The 16744-nt window shown below is 36.8% G+C and overlaps 1 protein-coding gene across 17 annotated transcripts in view, besides 3 other annotated features; it reads left to right on the top strand.

The window, feature by feature from the left end:
• Window positions 1-16744, top strand: part of DMD (dystrophin) — a 2220167-nt gene that overhangs the window by 222683 nt on the left and 1980740 nt on the right.
• Window positions 11624-12218: an enhancer, noted in NCBI's record as "OCT4-NANOG-H3K27ac hESC enhancer chrX:33122605-33123199 (GRCh37/hg19 assembly coordinates)". NCBI's record gives its function as "activates a minimal SCP1, AML or CMV promoter by ChIP-STARR-seq in naive H9 embryonic stem cells {active_cell/tissue: H9 hESC(naive)}" and the evidence as "EXISTENCE:reporter gene assay evidence [ECO:0000049][PMID:30033119]".
• Window positions 12219-12813: an enhancer, noted in NCBI's record as "OCT4-NANOG-H3K27ac hESC enhancer chrX:33122010-33122604 (GRCh37/hg19 assembly coordinates)". NCBI's record gives its function as "activates a minimal SCP1, AML or CMV promoter by ChIP-STARR-seq in naive H9 embryonic stem cells {active_cell/tissue: H9 hESC(naive)}" and the evidence as "EXISTENCE:reporter gene assay evidence [ECO:0000049][PMID:30033119]".
• Window positions 12814-13408: an enhancer, noted in NCBI's record as "OCT4-NANOG-H3K27ac hESC enhancer chrX:33121415-33122009 (GRCh37/hg19 assembly coordinates)". NCBI's record gives its function as "activates a minimal SCP1, AML or CMV promoter by ChIP-STARR-seq in primed H9 embryonic stem cells {active_cell/tissue: H9 hESC(primed)}" and the evidence as "EXISTENCE:reporter gene assay evidence [ECO:0000049][PMID:30033119]".

Raw genomic sequence — 16744 nt, 5'->3', positions numbered from 1 at the left:
ACTTTCTCTAACGGCTTGAAACACCTCTTTTTTCTATGAACTTTTGTTCCACATAGTTATTTCTACCCAGTTATCGACATAATTGCTTGCTAATTATTTCCTGTGGATTAACTTTGATTCCATAACTTTTTAACTTTTTTATAGATTTCCTGAGAGCACGTGCTGTGCTTTATATTTCTTTGTAAATACCTCAGTAGCTCTGCATTTTTTTTCTCTGTCATCCAGGATGGAGTGCAGTGGTCGATCATGGCTGACTGAACCCTTGACCTCCTGAGTTCAAGTGATCCTCCCACCTCAGCCTCCCGAGTAGCTGGGACTACCAGCGCTCCACCACACCCAGCTAATTTTCGTACTTTTTGTAGAGATGGGGTTTTGCCTTATCACTCAGGCTGATCTCAAACTCCCGAGCTCAGGTGACCCACCTGCCTCAGCTTCCCAAAGTGCTGGGATTACAGGTGTGAGCCACTGTGCCCGGCCAGCCCTGTGGTTTTTTGTCGTTGTTTTGGTTTTTTTGAGACTGGGTTTCACTCTGTCTCGCAGGCTGCAGTGCAGTGGCACCATCTCGGCTCACTGCAACCTCTGCCTCCTGGGTTCAAGCGATTTTTCTGCCTCAGCCTCCCGAATAGCAGGGATTACTGGTGCACGCCACCATGCCTGGCCAATTTTTGTATTTTTAGTAGAGATGGGTTTCACCATGTGGGCCAGGCTGGTCTCGAACTGCTGACCTCAGGTGATCCTCTGTCCTCGGCCTCCCAAAGTGCTGGGATTACAGGCATGAGCCGCCGTGCTCACCCAGCTCTGCATTTTTGAATCATTGTTTATAAAACATTGAGCATCAAATAATATGTTTTTAAATATTGTATAAGTAATACTGTGTTCATAGAAACGTTTTCTTTTGGCCGGGCGCAGTGGCTCACGCCTGTAATCCCAGCACTTTGGGAGGCCGGCGGATCACGAGGTCAGGAGATCGAGACCATCCTGGCTAACACAGTGATACAAACCCCGTATCTACTAAAAATACAAAAAATTAGCCGGGCGTGGTTGCGGGCGCCTGTAGTCCCAGCTACTCAGGAGGCTGAGGCAGGAGAATGGCGTGAACCCAGGAGGCGGAGCTTGCAGTGAGCCGAGACCACGCCACTGAGCTCCAGCCTGGGCCACAGAGCGAGACTCCATCTCGAAAAAAAAAAAAAGAAATGTTGTCTTTTACAACCATATATTTATCATATTTATCAGTAGTTTAGGCGTGGTCTTGAAAAGGAACCTCCCCCTACCATAATGCCTTTCGTTTAGGAGATCCCCCCATTACACTTGTGGCTTACATTGAAAGAAAAAAAAAATTATCCCCTTGTCTATGGTAGAAAACTGTGTCATTCGTGGCTTTGACTGCATCACAATCCATTTTAGCTTTTTGTCACTTAACTTGAGAAGAAATGAAATATATGTGGAGTGTATATCCCTGAAGAAAGTAAAGGACCAGCTGTTATCACTATAGAGTTTGTATTGTTGCTGAAAATAATCTGGTTATGTTTGTAAGGATTAAGTAGTTTATTCAACAGATGTTTGGTAGTAAACATGAATGAGAAAAGGCTTGTTCTTATCATATTCATTATGAATGCTGAGGTTGTGCTTTACTACATGTTTTCAATGCTCATCCTAACTGAAAGTATGAAGTGGAAGGATCAATTTCTGAATATTTAAATGAGATGTTGATTGCCTTGTTATAAACATTAACAATTTTCCTAAGTGTTTGCTCTTGAGATAGAGCATCTTTAGGAGAACTTTATGATTTGGGCTGGCAGATTTAGCCAAATTAACAGGAATGTACCTTCCTAATGTGATCATTCATCCCTAGGAACAGGAATCTGGGAACACTGAGGCTATACTTCTGTATGGTGAGTTATCAAAGTGTTAAACACAGGCACTATTAATGAAGCACAGATTCTACTTTCAGAGTAAAGCTAGTGTTACTATCTATGAAAAAATATTATTATTTATGTTTTCATAATAATAACTTCTACATTATATTTATTTTCAACTTTTTAGAATAAATCTGAGCTAGGAGGTTCTTATTTTAGTTGTTTTCCTTCTATCGTTTTTCATTACGCTCTTGTTGTTTGATTTGGTCTCACATTTTAAAAAGCTTACTGTATAAGAAAGTTTTATCTTCAAAATAATGAGCACTAGAGGTTACTATAAATGGAAATACAAAATGTGGATTTACTAAAGTGTTTTGACTTTTACCTACACATTTCTTGGAGTAATTTTTAAGTTGAATTTTAAGAATTATTTTGCTGGCCGGGCACGGTGGTGGCTCACACCTGTAATATCAGCACTTTGGGAGTCTGAGGCAGGCGGATCACCTGAGGTCAGGAGTTCGAGACCAGCCTGGCCAACATGGTGAAACCCCGTCTCTACTAAAAATACAAAATTTAGCCAGGCGTGGTGGTGGGCATCTGTAATCTCAGCTACTCGGGAGGCTGAGACAGGAGAATCGCTTGAACCCGGGAGGTGGAGGCTGCAGTAAGCCAAGAACATGCCACTGCACTCCAGCCTGGGCAAAAAAGTGAGATTCTGTCTCAAAAAAAAAAAAAAATAATAATAATATTGCCATATATTCGAATTACACAATAATACCAGATTGAGGATATTAGAGGAAAACAAATATTATATTTTCAATATTTCTAAAGTATTTTTTGTCTTGGTTATTTTTATGGAATTATATTACATTTATAGTATAACCTAACTCTTAACCATTTTGAGGGGTAAGTTTAAAGATTAACTTATCACTATTGACGAATTATTCATCTACCCGTGGAAGTGTCTGCAGTTTATCCATTTCGAAACATCTAATATTACATGAGAATTTACTTTTCTCATTAGATTACATAAACATCATGTTAAAATGCAATATGTACATGTGACAACTGATCTTTTGGGAAAAAAAAAGTCCATGAATCACTCCTGTAACATTTGGAATTAAATTCATTAACCAAAATAATATCATGCTTCATCTTTTATATTTTGCTTCCTTAGCATCTGGTTCTTAGTCTGTCTAATTACATTATAATGGCTCTGTGTTACAACAGTTGCTAGAAGATTTTTTTGGGGGGGGGGGCAAGAATGATGATTTTGCCTCATATTTTGGAATACCTGCTTTGCAAATGTCTTTCCTATATACTAGAGCCAGAAGGAAACAAATCTAATGTTTCTTATTCGTTTGAAATTTATTGGGAGACCAACTTCATTCAAAGATCAAGAACTCTAAAATTTTTACATCAAAAACTATTTTTTTCCCCAATTACTTTGTTGAGTACTGCACTTCCAGTCTTGAGATCGAAAGTAATGTTGAGGCCGGGCACGGTGGCTCATGCCTGTAATCCCAGCACTTTGGGCGGCTGAGGCGTGCGGATCACCTGAGGTCAGGAGTTTGAGACCAGCCTGGCCAACATGGTGAAACCCCGTCTCTACTAAAAATACAAAGAAAATTAGCCAGGCATGGTGGCGGGCGCCTGTTATTCCAGCTACTAGGGAGGCTGAGGCAGGAGAATCTCTTGAACTTGGGAGGCAGAGGTCGCAGTGAGCCGAGATTGAGCCGCTGCACTCCAGCCTGGGCGACAAGAGCAAAATTCCATCTCAAAAAAAAAAAAAAAAGTAATGTTTAGCCTTGAAATTGCTAATACAATGGACGGTATCCAGCATATTTCTTTTTTGTATGCAATTAATATTTTTACTTTATTTATTTTATTTATTTTTTTGAGATGGAGTCTCACTGTTGCCCAAACTGGAGTGCAATGGCGCAGTCTTGGCTCACTGCAACCTCTGCCTCCCAGGTTCAAGTGATTCTCCTGTGTCAGCCTCCCAAAGTGCTGGGATTACAGGCACGAGCCACCGCGCCTGGCCGATATTCTTACTTTAACAGTTGAATAAGTTAATATTTTATTGGAGCTATGCAATTAGTTAATTTCATATAGTGAATATATTAATATCTTATGAGGAAGAGCCACAATTTTAGTATAATAATGTAGATAATTATAACTCAGGAGGACTATGATCAAGATACACTGTAAGGATCCTTCACCATATTTTACCAAAATATTATTTTATAGTTCAAAGGGGGATAGGACGGTACACTTCCAATTATGCTGCAAATTTGTTATTATTACTGAAAAAGTCTATTTTCTTCTTCAAGCAATTAACTATTAATGTCTTTAATGTCAATAAACCGCATAGCGTTATAGACTCTCTTTGAATTTCTCTGAATTAGAAATAATTTTTGAATAGGAAGATTAACACAGACTCATTTTAATTCTGTAATGGTAGAAATAATTAATCTCCCCTTATCTGTAGGGATACGTGTTCTAAGACCCCTGGTGGATGCCTGAAACTGTGGATAATACCAAACCTTATGTATATATTATGTTTCTTATATACATACACATATAACAAAGTTTAATATATACATTAGGAACCATAAGAGATTAACAACAATAACTAATATTAGAACAATTATAACAATATACTGTGATAAAAGTTATGTGAATGTGGTCTCTATCTCTCAAAATATCTTATTGTACTGTACTCATCTATTTTTGGACTGCAGTTGATCATGGGTAACCAAAACCATGGATAAGAGGCAGACTACTGTGTATTTTATTATATGCATGTTATATATAATATATGTAATATATATTATTTGTATCCATTTGGCAAACAATTGAGATTTTTATTTCATGTAGTTGCTTTTTGTACTAATATAGTTATATGGTTGTTGGAATTATGTCATTAAAACACATTAAGCCAAGCATGCTGGCTCACGCCTGTAATCCCAGCACTTTGGGAGGCCGAGGCAGGTGAATCACTTGAGGTCAGGAGTTTGAGACCAGCCTGGCCAACATGGTGAAACCCCGGTCTCTACTAAAAATAGAAAAAAAATCAGCCGGGCGTGGTGGCAGGCACCTGTAATCCCAGTTACTTGGGAGGCTGAGTCAGGAGAATCCCTTGAACCCCAGAGGCAGAGGTTGCAGTGAGCCAACACTATGCCATCGCACTCGAATCGAGCCTGGGCAACAAGAATGAAACTTCGTCTCAAAAAAGAAAAACACACACGCACATTAAGAGAAATTATGTTTGTCGTTTTGTTTATTCTCTAATTTGATTAAATTGAACAGAATAATAAGTCACGTATGGCAATACCAAATATTATGCTAAAAATAAAACACTGAAAGCTGAAAAATTCAATCACAGATTATTGGTTTATATGACATCAGGCTTCAGGCTGATAGGAGACGTCCAAATGATAGGCTTATTTTGTTCCATAAGTATTGGGCACGGTTCTTAGTATAACAAAGAAATAACCGTGGATTGAGAAATTGTTTTCCTCACCTTCATTACTTAATAGTAGAATTCCCTTCAATGTGCCACTTAATATTCCTTGATGTCAGAGCCTTCCATTTGAGCAGCTGAAATTATTGACACCCCTCTCATTCTTCAAGGATGTGTTGTAGGGACTGCTGAGTTTCTGTAGAGGTTTAAGCTTTGTGGGAAATGATGTTGAGTATGACAATGTTATCAGCAACATTGTCAACTTCATGGTTGCCTATTGACTTAGGGAAAAGTGGAGAAAAATATGACAATTGCTGAGTGCTTAGTTGCAGTAGCTTTTTAATTTTAATTTTCAAGCATCTGTGTATAAGCAAAAGAATATACACAGTGCCACGTATCATACCCATTGACAAGTTTATCAGATTTTAATTATAATAAATATTTTAATTAAAATGTTTTTTAAAATTATTAATTTTAATGAACATCAAATTTCTCTCTTGTGATGTGATAAGGGCAGTGATAGAACTGACATTTGAACGTTCAATACACAATTCGGCCACCATTCAATAGGCTTGGATTGTGCCCATGGTTCTGTTCTGTACTAAAGACACAAAGATGAACAAATAAAAACTCTGCCCTTGAAGCCATACAGTCAAAATACAGTGTCCTTAATCTGGGGTCCATGAACCATGATAGGAAAAAAATTACATCTTTATTTTCACTAACCTGTAACTGAAAATTTGCATTTCTTTCCCTTTATGAAGATAAGCAACACAGAACGGTATTAGCAATATCTGTGAATTTATTACCAATATTTTTATATCAAATCCTAGTTGTTTTGGATATCTTGAAAAATCATATGTTAATATATACCAGTGGTTAGTATACTAATCACTACTTTTAATTTGTATTAATTATTATGCTTATAACTAATGTATTAATAGCATATAATAGTATTATATTCAGTATTTTACAATTGCAATATAATTAATTTCCTTTGTTTTTTATATGCTTTTAGTTTTCATTTTGCACATTTGAAAACAGTCTGGGAAGTGTTCCATATGCTTCACCAGATGCCAAAGGGATCCATAGCACAAAAATAGTTAAGGACCCCATATCTAGAAGAGACACAGGCAAGTACATATAATACCATGGTACAGAAAAATAACAGAGGCTTGTACCATATGCTGTGAAATTGGGCATAACTCTCTCAGTCCAAAGGACTGAAGAGGAAATTTTTGATTTGGCCTTGAAGCACACGTGATTGTTTCTCTAGTGGTAACATGTGAGAGAGGGCATTCTAAAAAAGAGAAAAGTAGGTGCAAAGTCGAAGTCACCCGGTGAGAGCTTGCAGGGTCAGGGAACAAAGAGCAGTGTACTGTGGCAATGTAAACAAACAAAGAAACAAACAAAAAAACCTTTTTTTTTTTTAAACCATTGTTGGGCATCCTATTCTGTTTTCATTTGTCAATGTGCAAGATTGCATTTGCCAAGCAGTTTTTATTAATCATTAGTGAGTAGAAACTATTCTCTGGCTTTTTATTTTAACTGACTATATTTCATATAGACAACAGGCAAGAAACATCAAAGAAGAGATCAAAGCTCTGCATTAGCGTTTTAAATCTCATTATTTCAAACAACATCTACCTGTAAGGGGAAAAAAAACCGTAAATCTTTTTCACCTCCCCACTTCGTCGTTGTTTTCAGACAACGATCAGTCACTTGTCTGGCCTGTGGGCCATAATTGGCTACCTGTAAATCTCAAGAGACTGAACCATGTAACTGGAATAATTTTTTTTTTTTAGCACTACACTACACGGCTGTTATTCAGTTATAATGGTCAAGGAAGCTTTAGATGCTGTACTTAGGCTTTCTAAATGTGTGCTTTATTTGGCTTTCTGGGAGAAATGTCAATGTGAATTTCCAGATTATAATGAAGTTCATCCAGAAAAACAACTATGATTTAAAGAAGCAGAAGAAACAAACCGGACTGAAAAAATACACTAATAGACTAAGATAGTGTTTTCAAACTGTTCTAGATTAAGACAATTTTGCTTGCATTCTTTGTTGAGCAAGAAGGTTCACATCTTAACTTTTCCAATAATCCTCTTTAAGACCGTTATTATTGGCCTTGATTTCAAACAGAAACCAGCAGGGACCTGAATGGACACTACTAGTTAACCAGTCTAAAGCCTTATGTTAAAGCTAAACAGTTATCTCTAATTTTCAAAACAATAGCATGAGTATATATTAAAAAGTGGTTGATCTAGGGAACTTAATATTCCAGGATGAACTATACTAAATGAAAATATGTAACACATTAAAATGTGGTCAAACAAGCCATCTATAGCTGATAGTACAAATTGCATATATATCTACTTTATTAAAATTTTAACTGGCCAATAAAATTGATACTATAATTCTAAATATAATTTTTATTTAAGATTACAAGTTTTAAAATTGAACAGACTTAGGTTTAAATCACTTCTCTCTCTTCTTCTTTTTTTTTTTTTTTCCGAAACGGAGTTTCACTCTTGTTGCCCAGGCTGGAGTGCAACGGCGCGATCTCGGCTCACTGCAACCTCCACCTCCCAGGTTCAAGCAATTCTCCTGCCTCAGCCTCATGAGTAGTTGGCCCTCCACCATGCCTGGATAATTTTTTGTATTTGTAGTAGAGACGAGGTTTCACCATGTTGGCCAGGCTGGTCTCAAACTCCTGACCTCAGGTAATCCGCCCTCCTGGGCCTCACAAAGGGCTGGGATTACAGGGGTGAGCCACCGCGGCCAGCCAAAATCACTTCTTAAATGTGTTATTCTGGGCCCAGCACGGTGGATCATGCCTGTAATCCCAGCACTTTGGCAGGCTGAGGCGGTCCGATCACCTGAGATCAGGAGTTTGAGCCAGCCTGGCCAACATAGTGAAACCCCGTCTGTACTAAAAATACAAAAATTAGCCGGCCTGGTGGCACATGCCTTTAATCCCAGCTACTCGGGGGTGCTGAGGCAAAAGAATCCCTTGAAACCGAGAGGCAGAGGTTACAGTGAGCCAAGATCATGCCACTGCACTACAGCCTAGGTGACAGGTGACAGAGGGATACTTCGTCTCAAAAAACAGAAGACAAACAACAGCAACAGAAAATGTATTATTTTGTATTAGCTTAGCTCAGCATGTTTGCTTGTATGTAAAGTAGAACTGAAAAAAAAACCTAATAAAATTAAAATAGGGATTAAATGCACTAAAATTTGTTATTTGTTCTACGTATTTCAAAAATGGTAGTCATTCTAATTATTTATTTTAGTTAATGGAAACATTAGTTTTATTGTTAGTAAAACAATATATTGTTGATACAATATCTAGCATAATTTTGCCTCTTAATGAATCAATCAGCTTGTCCTTTTTATTCATATTTTCCTTAATTATAAACCAATTTTTTAAAAGTCATAATCTATCAGTAGAAATGGTACTTTATTAAATTCGGAGAATAGTATCATTTAAGGAAAAATATTCCTAGATAAAAAAATATACAGTACTATGAAATTCACATGCATTTAAAGTCATTATTAATTTATAAAGAATCTGGAATTATAACCTGAACTAAATAATTCTATTTTTTTGCTGAATGAATGAATAAATAAATGAATCTTTAGGAACTTGACTGTCCTCCACTAAAGTTAATGACTCCTTCAACATATTACACATTCTGTTGCTTTGTTCTCATTTCTATTATAAATGCAAGTTTGCTTTTTTGCATATGGAATCACCATCTATAAATTCATAGTCAATATGGGGTTTTAAATAATCATTACCATGGAAATTATACTTAAGTATTAGTTCTGTTGGTTGGAGATTATGAATTTCTAAATTTAAAAAAATGCTGATTTAAATTTATTATTTCCAGTGCCCTATCCTATTTTTTTTTCATATCTGCTACTGCCTTCCTAATAAACTTGTTTAGAAATATATCTTGACAGCAAATGGTATTTTATTCCTACCCTCTTGGCATGTATTATACACAAACTTTGTTTTTTGTTGTTGTTGCTGTTTTTTTTGTGTGTGTTGGGGGGGGGGGGGGGACAGAGCTTCGCTCTTGTTGCCGAGGCTGGAGTGCAATGATGCCATCTCGGCTCACTGCAACCTCCGCCTCCTGAGTTAAAGAGATTCTTCTGCCTCAGCCTCCCGAGTAGCTGGGATTACAGGCATCCGCCACCACAGCCAGCTAATTTTTGTATTTTTAGTAGAGACGGGGTTTCACCATGTTGGCCAGGCTGGTCTTGAACTCCTGACCTCAGGTGATCCGCCCACCTCTGCCTCCGAAAGTGCTGGGATTACAGGCGTTGAGTCACTGCACCCGGCCTTAAACTTCTTTTCGAAAGCTTTCTCTTTTATACGTATTGAGTTAATTCCTGTTTGCGCTGTGACATCTACCTGACTACCACAAAACCTTACAGCCACTTGCTTCTGTAAATGGAAAACTGCCCTAGCATGACAGGATGTGGGCTGAAGACATAACCATATCGAAAACAGCAAGCTTTTTGGAAATCTGTGTTTGGCCCTCAATTTCATGGCCTCAAGTAACTTGATAATTTTCTATTTCTAATGCCTGTCAGCCACAACAGGATCTGATAACCAACTAAAATCTCTGTTGGAAGTGAATAGGGGAAAATAGGTGAAATCACATTTGATGTTGTAAGGGAAGCTTATTGAAGACAGTGGATGTGTTCAAAACATTATGAGGCAAATAATGAGGAGGAAAAAATATGAGGAAATAGATCACCAGGAAGCCCTGTGAATGTTTATGTTTTGGCTTTACATGATTACTAGTAATTAAATTAGTGAAAAATATTTTATGGAATATTCAATATGCCCTTAATGTACAATTTGCTGAGCAATAAGAATATAAGACTACAAACTTCCTCTTATTGGAATATACATTTTATTTTTTATTTTGTTGTACTTCAATAGCTTTAGGGTTTCAAGTGGTTTTTGCTTACGTGTATGAATTGTATAATGGTGAAGTCCGGGATTTTATTGAGCCGTCACCCGAGTAGTGTACGTTGTACCCAATATGTAGTTTTTTATCCCTCATTCCCACCCCCTCCACTTCTGAGTCTCTGAAGTCCCTTATATCACTCTGTATGCCTTTGCATACTCATAAGTTAGTTCCCATTATAAGTGAGAACACACAGTATTTGATTTTCCATTTCTGAGTTACTTCACTTAGAATAATAACCTCCAGTTCCATCCAAGTTGCTGCAGAAGACGTTATTTCATTGTTTATATGGCTGAGTAGTATTCTATGGTGTGTGTGTGTGTGTGTGTGTGTGTGTGGTGTGTGTATCTCACATTTTCTTTATCCACTCTAAGGTGGATTCTATATCTTTGCGATTGTGAATTGTGCTGCAATAAACATATGTATGCAGGTGCCTTTTTCATATAGTGACTTATTTTTATTTTGGTAGATATGCAGTATTAGGATTCGTGGATTGAATGGTATACCTACTTCTAGTTCTTTGAGAAATCTCCATACTGTTTTCCAGAGAGGTATTAATTTACACTTCCACCAGCAGTATATAAGTGTTCTCTTTTTATCTTGTCCATGCCAACGTTTATTGTTTTTTGACTTTTTAATAATGGCCATTCTGGCTAAGATAAGGAAGTATCTCATTGTGGTTTTAATTTGCATTCCCCTGATGATTAGTGATGTTAAGTATTTTTTCATGTATTTGTTGATCATTTGTATATCTTCTTTTGAGAAATGTATATTCTTGTCGTTTCCAAGCTTTTTAAAGAGATTGTTTTCTTCTTGCTGATTTGCTTGAGTTCTTTGTAGGTTGTAGATATTGGTCAGTTGTCAGATGCAGTTTGCAAATATTTTTTTCCATTCTGTCGGTTTTCTGTTTACGTTGATGGTTATTTCTTTTGCTGTGCAGAAGCTTTTTAGTTTACTTAGATCCCATTTGTTTATTTTTATTTTTGTTGCATTTGCTTTTGAGGTCTTGGTCATAAATTCTTTACCTAGGCCAATGTCCAGGAGAGTTTTTCCTAGGTTTTCTTTGAGGAGTTTTATGGTTTCAGGTCTTAGACTTAAGTCTTTAATCCTCCTTGAGCTAATTTTTGTATATGGTAGGAGATAGGGATCCAGTTTCATTCTTCCACATGTGGTTGTCCCATTTTCCCAGCACCATTTATTGAATAGGCTGTCCTTTGCCCAATTTATGTTTTTGTATGCTTTGTTGAAGGTAAATTGGTTTTAAGTATTTGGCTTCACTTCTGGCTTCTCTATTCTATTCCAATGGTCTATGTAGGAATAGACGTTTTAAAATGTTGCAATTGGAACTATGGATAAACCTTTAAGATAATAATTTTTAGCCACTGTTCATTTTAACTGGGGGAGAATGGGAAAAAAGTTTAATCACTTTAACTAAATCAGTTACTTTGTTTACATATATTTAGCTCTGATAATTACAAGGAGATTCACTTTTGAGTTTGAAAAGTAGATTCTAATGCCTAATGAGAGTTTTCACATTGTCTTTGAGAATAAACACTATTTTAGGTTATTACTGATATTTCAGTTTGTGAACTAATAATTCAGCTTGTGAATTTTACCCAATTTTATAAATTCACTTTTCTTACTTGGGCGTCTGTGTTTGAATTAAGAATGGTTAAATGTTTCTTTCATACGCGTCCGTGTGAAGAGACCACCAAACAGGCTTTGTGTGAGCCATAAAGCTGTTTATTTCACCTGGGTGCAGGTGGGCTGAGTCCGAAAAGAGAGTCAGCGAAGGGAGATAGGGGTGGGGCCGTTTTATAGGATTTGGGTAGATAAAGGAAAAAGGGGGGTTGTTCTCTGGCAGGCAGGAGTGGGGGTCACAAGGTACTCAGTGGGGGAGCTTTTGAGCCAGGATGAGCCAGGAGAAGGAATTTCACAAGACAATGTCATCAGTTAAGGCAGGAACAGGCCATTTTCACTTCTTTTGTGGTGGAATGTCATCAGTTAAGGCAGGAACCGGCAATCTGGATGTGTACGTGCAGATCACAGGGGATATGATGGCTTAGCTTGGGCTCAGAGGCCTGACAGTTTCTACATGATAGTCTCTTTATTCAAAAGAAACACACTACATTATTATTTTAAAACGTTATTAACATATTTTTCTGTGCTAGAAAATTTTAAGAAACAAACATTTAAGTGGGCTAACTCATTTAGAATTTGTAAAATATGACAAAACTCTAGGAGAAAGTTTACCTGTGAAAGGAGTCTGTTATGTAAATCAATAGTGTAATTATGATTCAATAAATTATATAAATTCCTAATGAGCACTATCAATTTTTCTTTTGCTAAAATCTACTGATATTCTACTTTTAAATTACTCTCACTTTTAGTGTTCCCCTGAGGACTTATCAGTTTGGAACACTTAAATTTGAGTTATCGTTCTGTTCTTAGGAAAAATATATTTAAAGAAATAATGATTTATTATGCTAGATTTATCATTATTTTTATTTGGGATTGCTTTTAATGTGCATGAGTTACAAAGACATAACTGTGAGATCCCATTTTCTATAATTTTTTTAGTGATTCCATACATTTCTGAGTTTACATTTTTTAAAAATTATAGCTCAAAAAATGCAAGACATAAGTAAGTATGCTTTTCTAATGGGTCATTTCAGTCGCGTCCGTGTGAAGAGACCACCAAACAGGCTTTGTGTGAGCAATAAAGCTTTTTAATCACCTGGGTGCAGGCGGGCTGAGTCCGAAAAGAGAGTCAGGGAAGGGAGATAGGGGTGGGGCCGTTTTATAAGCTTTCGGTAGGTAAAGGAAAATTACAAAGAGGGGTTGTTCTCTGGTGGGCAGGAGTGGGGGTCACAAGGTGCTCAGTGGGGGAGCTTTTTGAGCCAGGATGAGCCAGGAGAAGGAATTTCACAAGGTAATGTCATCAGTTAAGGCAGGAACAGGCCATTTCCACTTCTTTTGTGGTGGAATGTCATCAGTTAAGGCAGGAACAGGCCATTTTCACTTCTTTTGTGATTCTTCAGTTACTTCAGGCCATCTGGGCGTATACATGCAGGTCACAGGGGATATGATGGCTTAGCTTGGGCTCAGAGGCCTGACAGGTCAGTTATGGAAACACATCAAAGTACTCTAGAACCAAAAGTTAATTTTTGAAAGAAATTAACTTAATGTACAGATTTTATAGGAATTCTGGACGTATTTAATATCGTGATGCTAGAAGAATGTCTTACCAATTAATATTACTGGATTTCTTGTTGTGTATCAAGTTGTAACAGATACCTTAATCACCTACCAGATAGGCTCATTCCTGTGTCCATTCCAATAGAACTCTGATTTTGCTCAGATCTCCATCCTCACAATTTCACAGTAGTCTTCAGTAAAGAAATGAGACTACCCCTTGTCACAGAAAATGAATCATACTTTAATTCGCTTATATGCTTCCATACCACTTGCCATTTACGGGTTTAAGTATGTGCATGAGATGCAACCTGAACCAATTAAACATCAAGTAAGTTTTTCTTGCCAATGAAAAGCGTTCACTTAACAACTAAATGCTTGAGCATTTATATGTAGATATATATGTACATATATACGATGTAAAATGTAGAATGCCCACTGATTCATTTATAATTTGATATGTATTAGTATGTATTTAATAAGCTCTTATAAGACTGAATGGACTCTGGATATGAAATAATATACCAAGTATGGTAACACATGGTAACACATGGACAAATTGTAGTGGAATCAATAAAGCATTCAGAGAAATACATCATTATTATTTATTCTCCCACTTTAGGAAGATTTCAATCCTAGCATTAAATGTAACACTGTCTTTTTTAAAATAAAACCTCCATTTCTAAGAAGTTATTTGATGAGAAAATATTTGAGAGGTTATCTGATGAGAAAATTTGAAGAAAAAAATTTTAACTGTACAACCAGTTAATTAGAACTTTGTCAAATAACATTGCCTTTAATTCCCAGAAATCCAATACATTATGCTCAGTGAACTGTAACACCTGAGTTTTTAAAGTGGAATACTTAAAAAAAAAAAAAAACAAAAAAAACCAGCCTTCTGGGGTAATATCTCCTCTTTGGAAGTTTCTTTTTTTCCAAAATTATACTTAAAGGACGATTCTTTTAATGAATAAATTTTAGAGTTATCTCAAGGAATAAATAGAGGAAATATTATTTTATTTCAAAGAGAAGAATGTCTATTGTGGCAAACAACAAACCTGAAATAAATAAAACGTGACAGTCTATGAAGTCCGTGAGCCTAAAGAACAATGGTTATTTTACTGTCTTAGAAAAGTTTAGGAAGTTTGGATTTGAATTCAAACTTTAATTTGAACTTATAACGTCAACTTGAAATCATTTGGAATAAACATTGAAAACCTTCTTTGAAAGTTTTATCAAAGGAGAAAGAATTTGAATACCAAGAGGATGGAAAGGTTAACTTCTGTTATCTGAAATATCTTCAATTGCCTTGAGCCAGTTTAAAAATAAACAAGCTTACTGATATAGAGGGAAACAAGTCTACCTTGTGAATATAATTTAAAAAAGAGAAAAAATGTCATTTACCATATTATTTACTTCCTCATTTTAGAAAAGGGAATAAACATTTATTAATTATGCACTATCAGGCACTACGCATTCAACACACACTATCACATTAGTTCTTCCCAAAAGCCATTTGAAGTAGTTTTTCTTTCTTTTTTTTTCTTCTTTTCTTTTCTTTTTTTGAGAGATGGAGTCTTGCTCTGTTGCCCAGGCTGGAGTGCAGTGGCACGATCTCTGCCCGCTGCAACCTCCGCCTCCCTGGTTCAAGCGATTCTCCTGCCTTAGCTTCCCAAGTAGCTGGGACTACAGGCATGTGCCACCACGCCCAGCTAATTTCTGTATTTTTTAGTAGAGACGGGGTTTCACTATACGTTGGCCAGGCTGGTCTCGAACTCCTGACCTCAGGTGATCCGCGTGCCTCGGCCTCCCAAAGTGCTGAGATTATGGGCGTGAGCCACCGCACCTGGCCTGAAGTAGTTTCTCTTATGCCCATTCATCAATATAGATAATAGGGTTCAGAGAGATTTTTCAGTAATTTACACAAGATTTTACAGCTCCTAGGTGGCAGAATCTAGACTTAAATTTAGATCTGATCCAAAAACTGTATTTTCCTAGCTTTAGTAGGACATTAACAATACAAGTGCCTCTTTAATATGCTTAGGAATGCATTTTTATTTATATGTAAAACCAAATAAACAAATAAACGCTGCGATTGCCAACAAAGTATCTTTAATGTAAGAATTTCAAATGCTGTGCAAAATTATCCTCACTAACTGCTCTTCTGGTCCCACACTTGTCACATGGCTACAGAATATACTATATCTCTCTTTCTCTTCCAGCAGCTTCCTAGTGGCCACACAGGGACCATCCTATCCATAGGTTATAGTTGCTTTTTAAAATCTAGGCATTTCCTAGGAGCTGATGAGATTTTAGAAGAGGTGATATTAACATGAAAAAATTGGTAGGGGTAGATTTCTGAGATATTCTATCCAAATTCAGGAGTTTTACAATTATAATTTAGTTAAATATTGTACTTGATACACATATAATTCCATTAATACACTCTGAGTTAATTGATTTTCATTTATTACTCATGGTTTTCATTTTTTGTTTTTTGTTTTTTGAGACGGAGTTTTGCTCTTGTCACCCAGGCTAGAGGGCAACTGTGCAATCTTGGCTCACTGCAATCTCCGCCTCCTGGGTTCAAGCGATTCTCCTGCCTCAGCTTCCCGAGTATCTGGGATGACAGGCATGCGCCACCATCCCTGACTAATTTTATATTAGTAGTACAGATGGGGTTTCGCCATTTTGGTCAGGCTGGTCTCGAACTCCTGGCCTCAGGTGATCCACCTGCCTCTGCCTCCCAAAGTGCTGGGATTACAAGCGTGAGCCACCGTGCCCGGCTTCATCGTTTCCATCTTTAACAAAGAAATACATGATATTTAAAGAAATTTTAAAAGTATAATTTTAAAACAGAGGGAAAGCCACCCACAGCTAAAACATCCTTTCTCTAAACAGTTTATTTTTTCCTTAATAAAGTTAGATATTTTTTGGTGTCTAACTTTGCATTGTAAAACTTAATCATTACTTACATTGCTCCATAATATTCTGTCATATGGTTTTGCTGTAGAACTGATACTGAGTTGGTGTGCCCCTTGTAAGAATAGTCCAGTCATTTTAAACCAGCATCTGTTTGGATTGGGCCAGCATCTCTTCCAGTGTCCTTGAGTCAACAATGCCTTAATGGTTTCTACATATATTTTTAAATATTACCTATAGATAGTTCATTCTTTATCTTCTTATGTTGCGTGTCAGAGCTATTACGTTAGAGCTATTATGTAATTTTGGCTTTT

This window comes from Homo sapiens, chromosome X (genome assembly GCF_000001405.40).
Source record: "Homo sapiens chromosome X, GRCh38.p14 Primary Assembly".
Taxonomy (NCBI): Eukaryota; Metazoa; Chordata; class Mammalia; order Primates; family Hominidae; genus Homo; species Homo sapiens.
The sequence above is the reverse complement of the archived record's forward strand: the minus strand, read 5'-3'. Positions and strand labels throughout refer to the sequence as shown.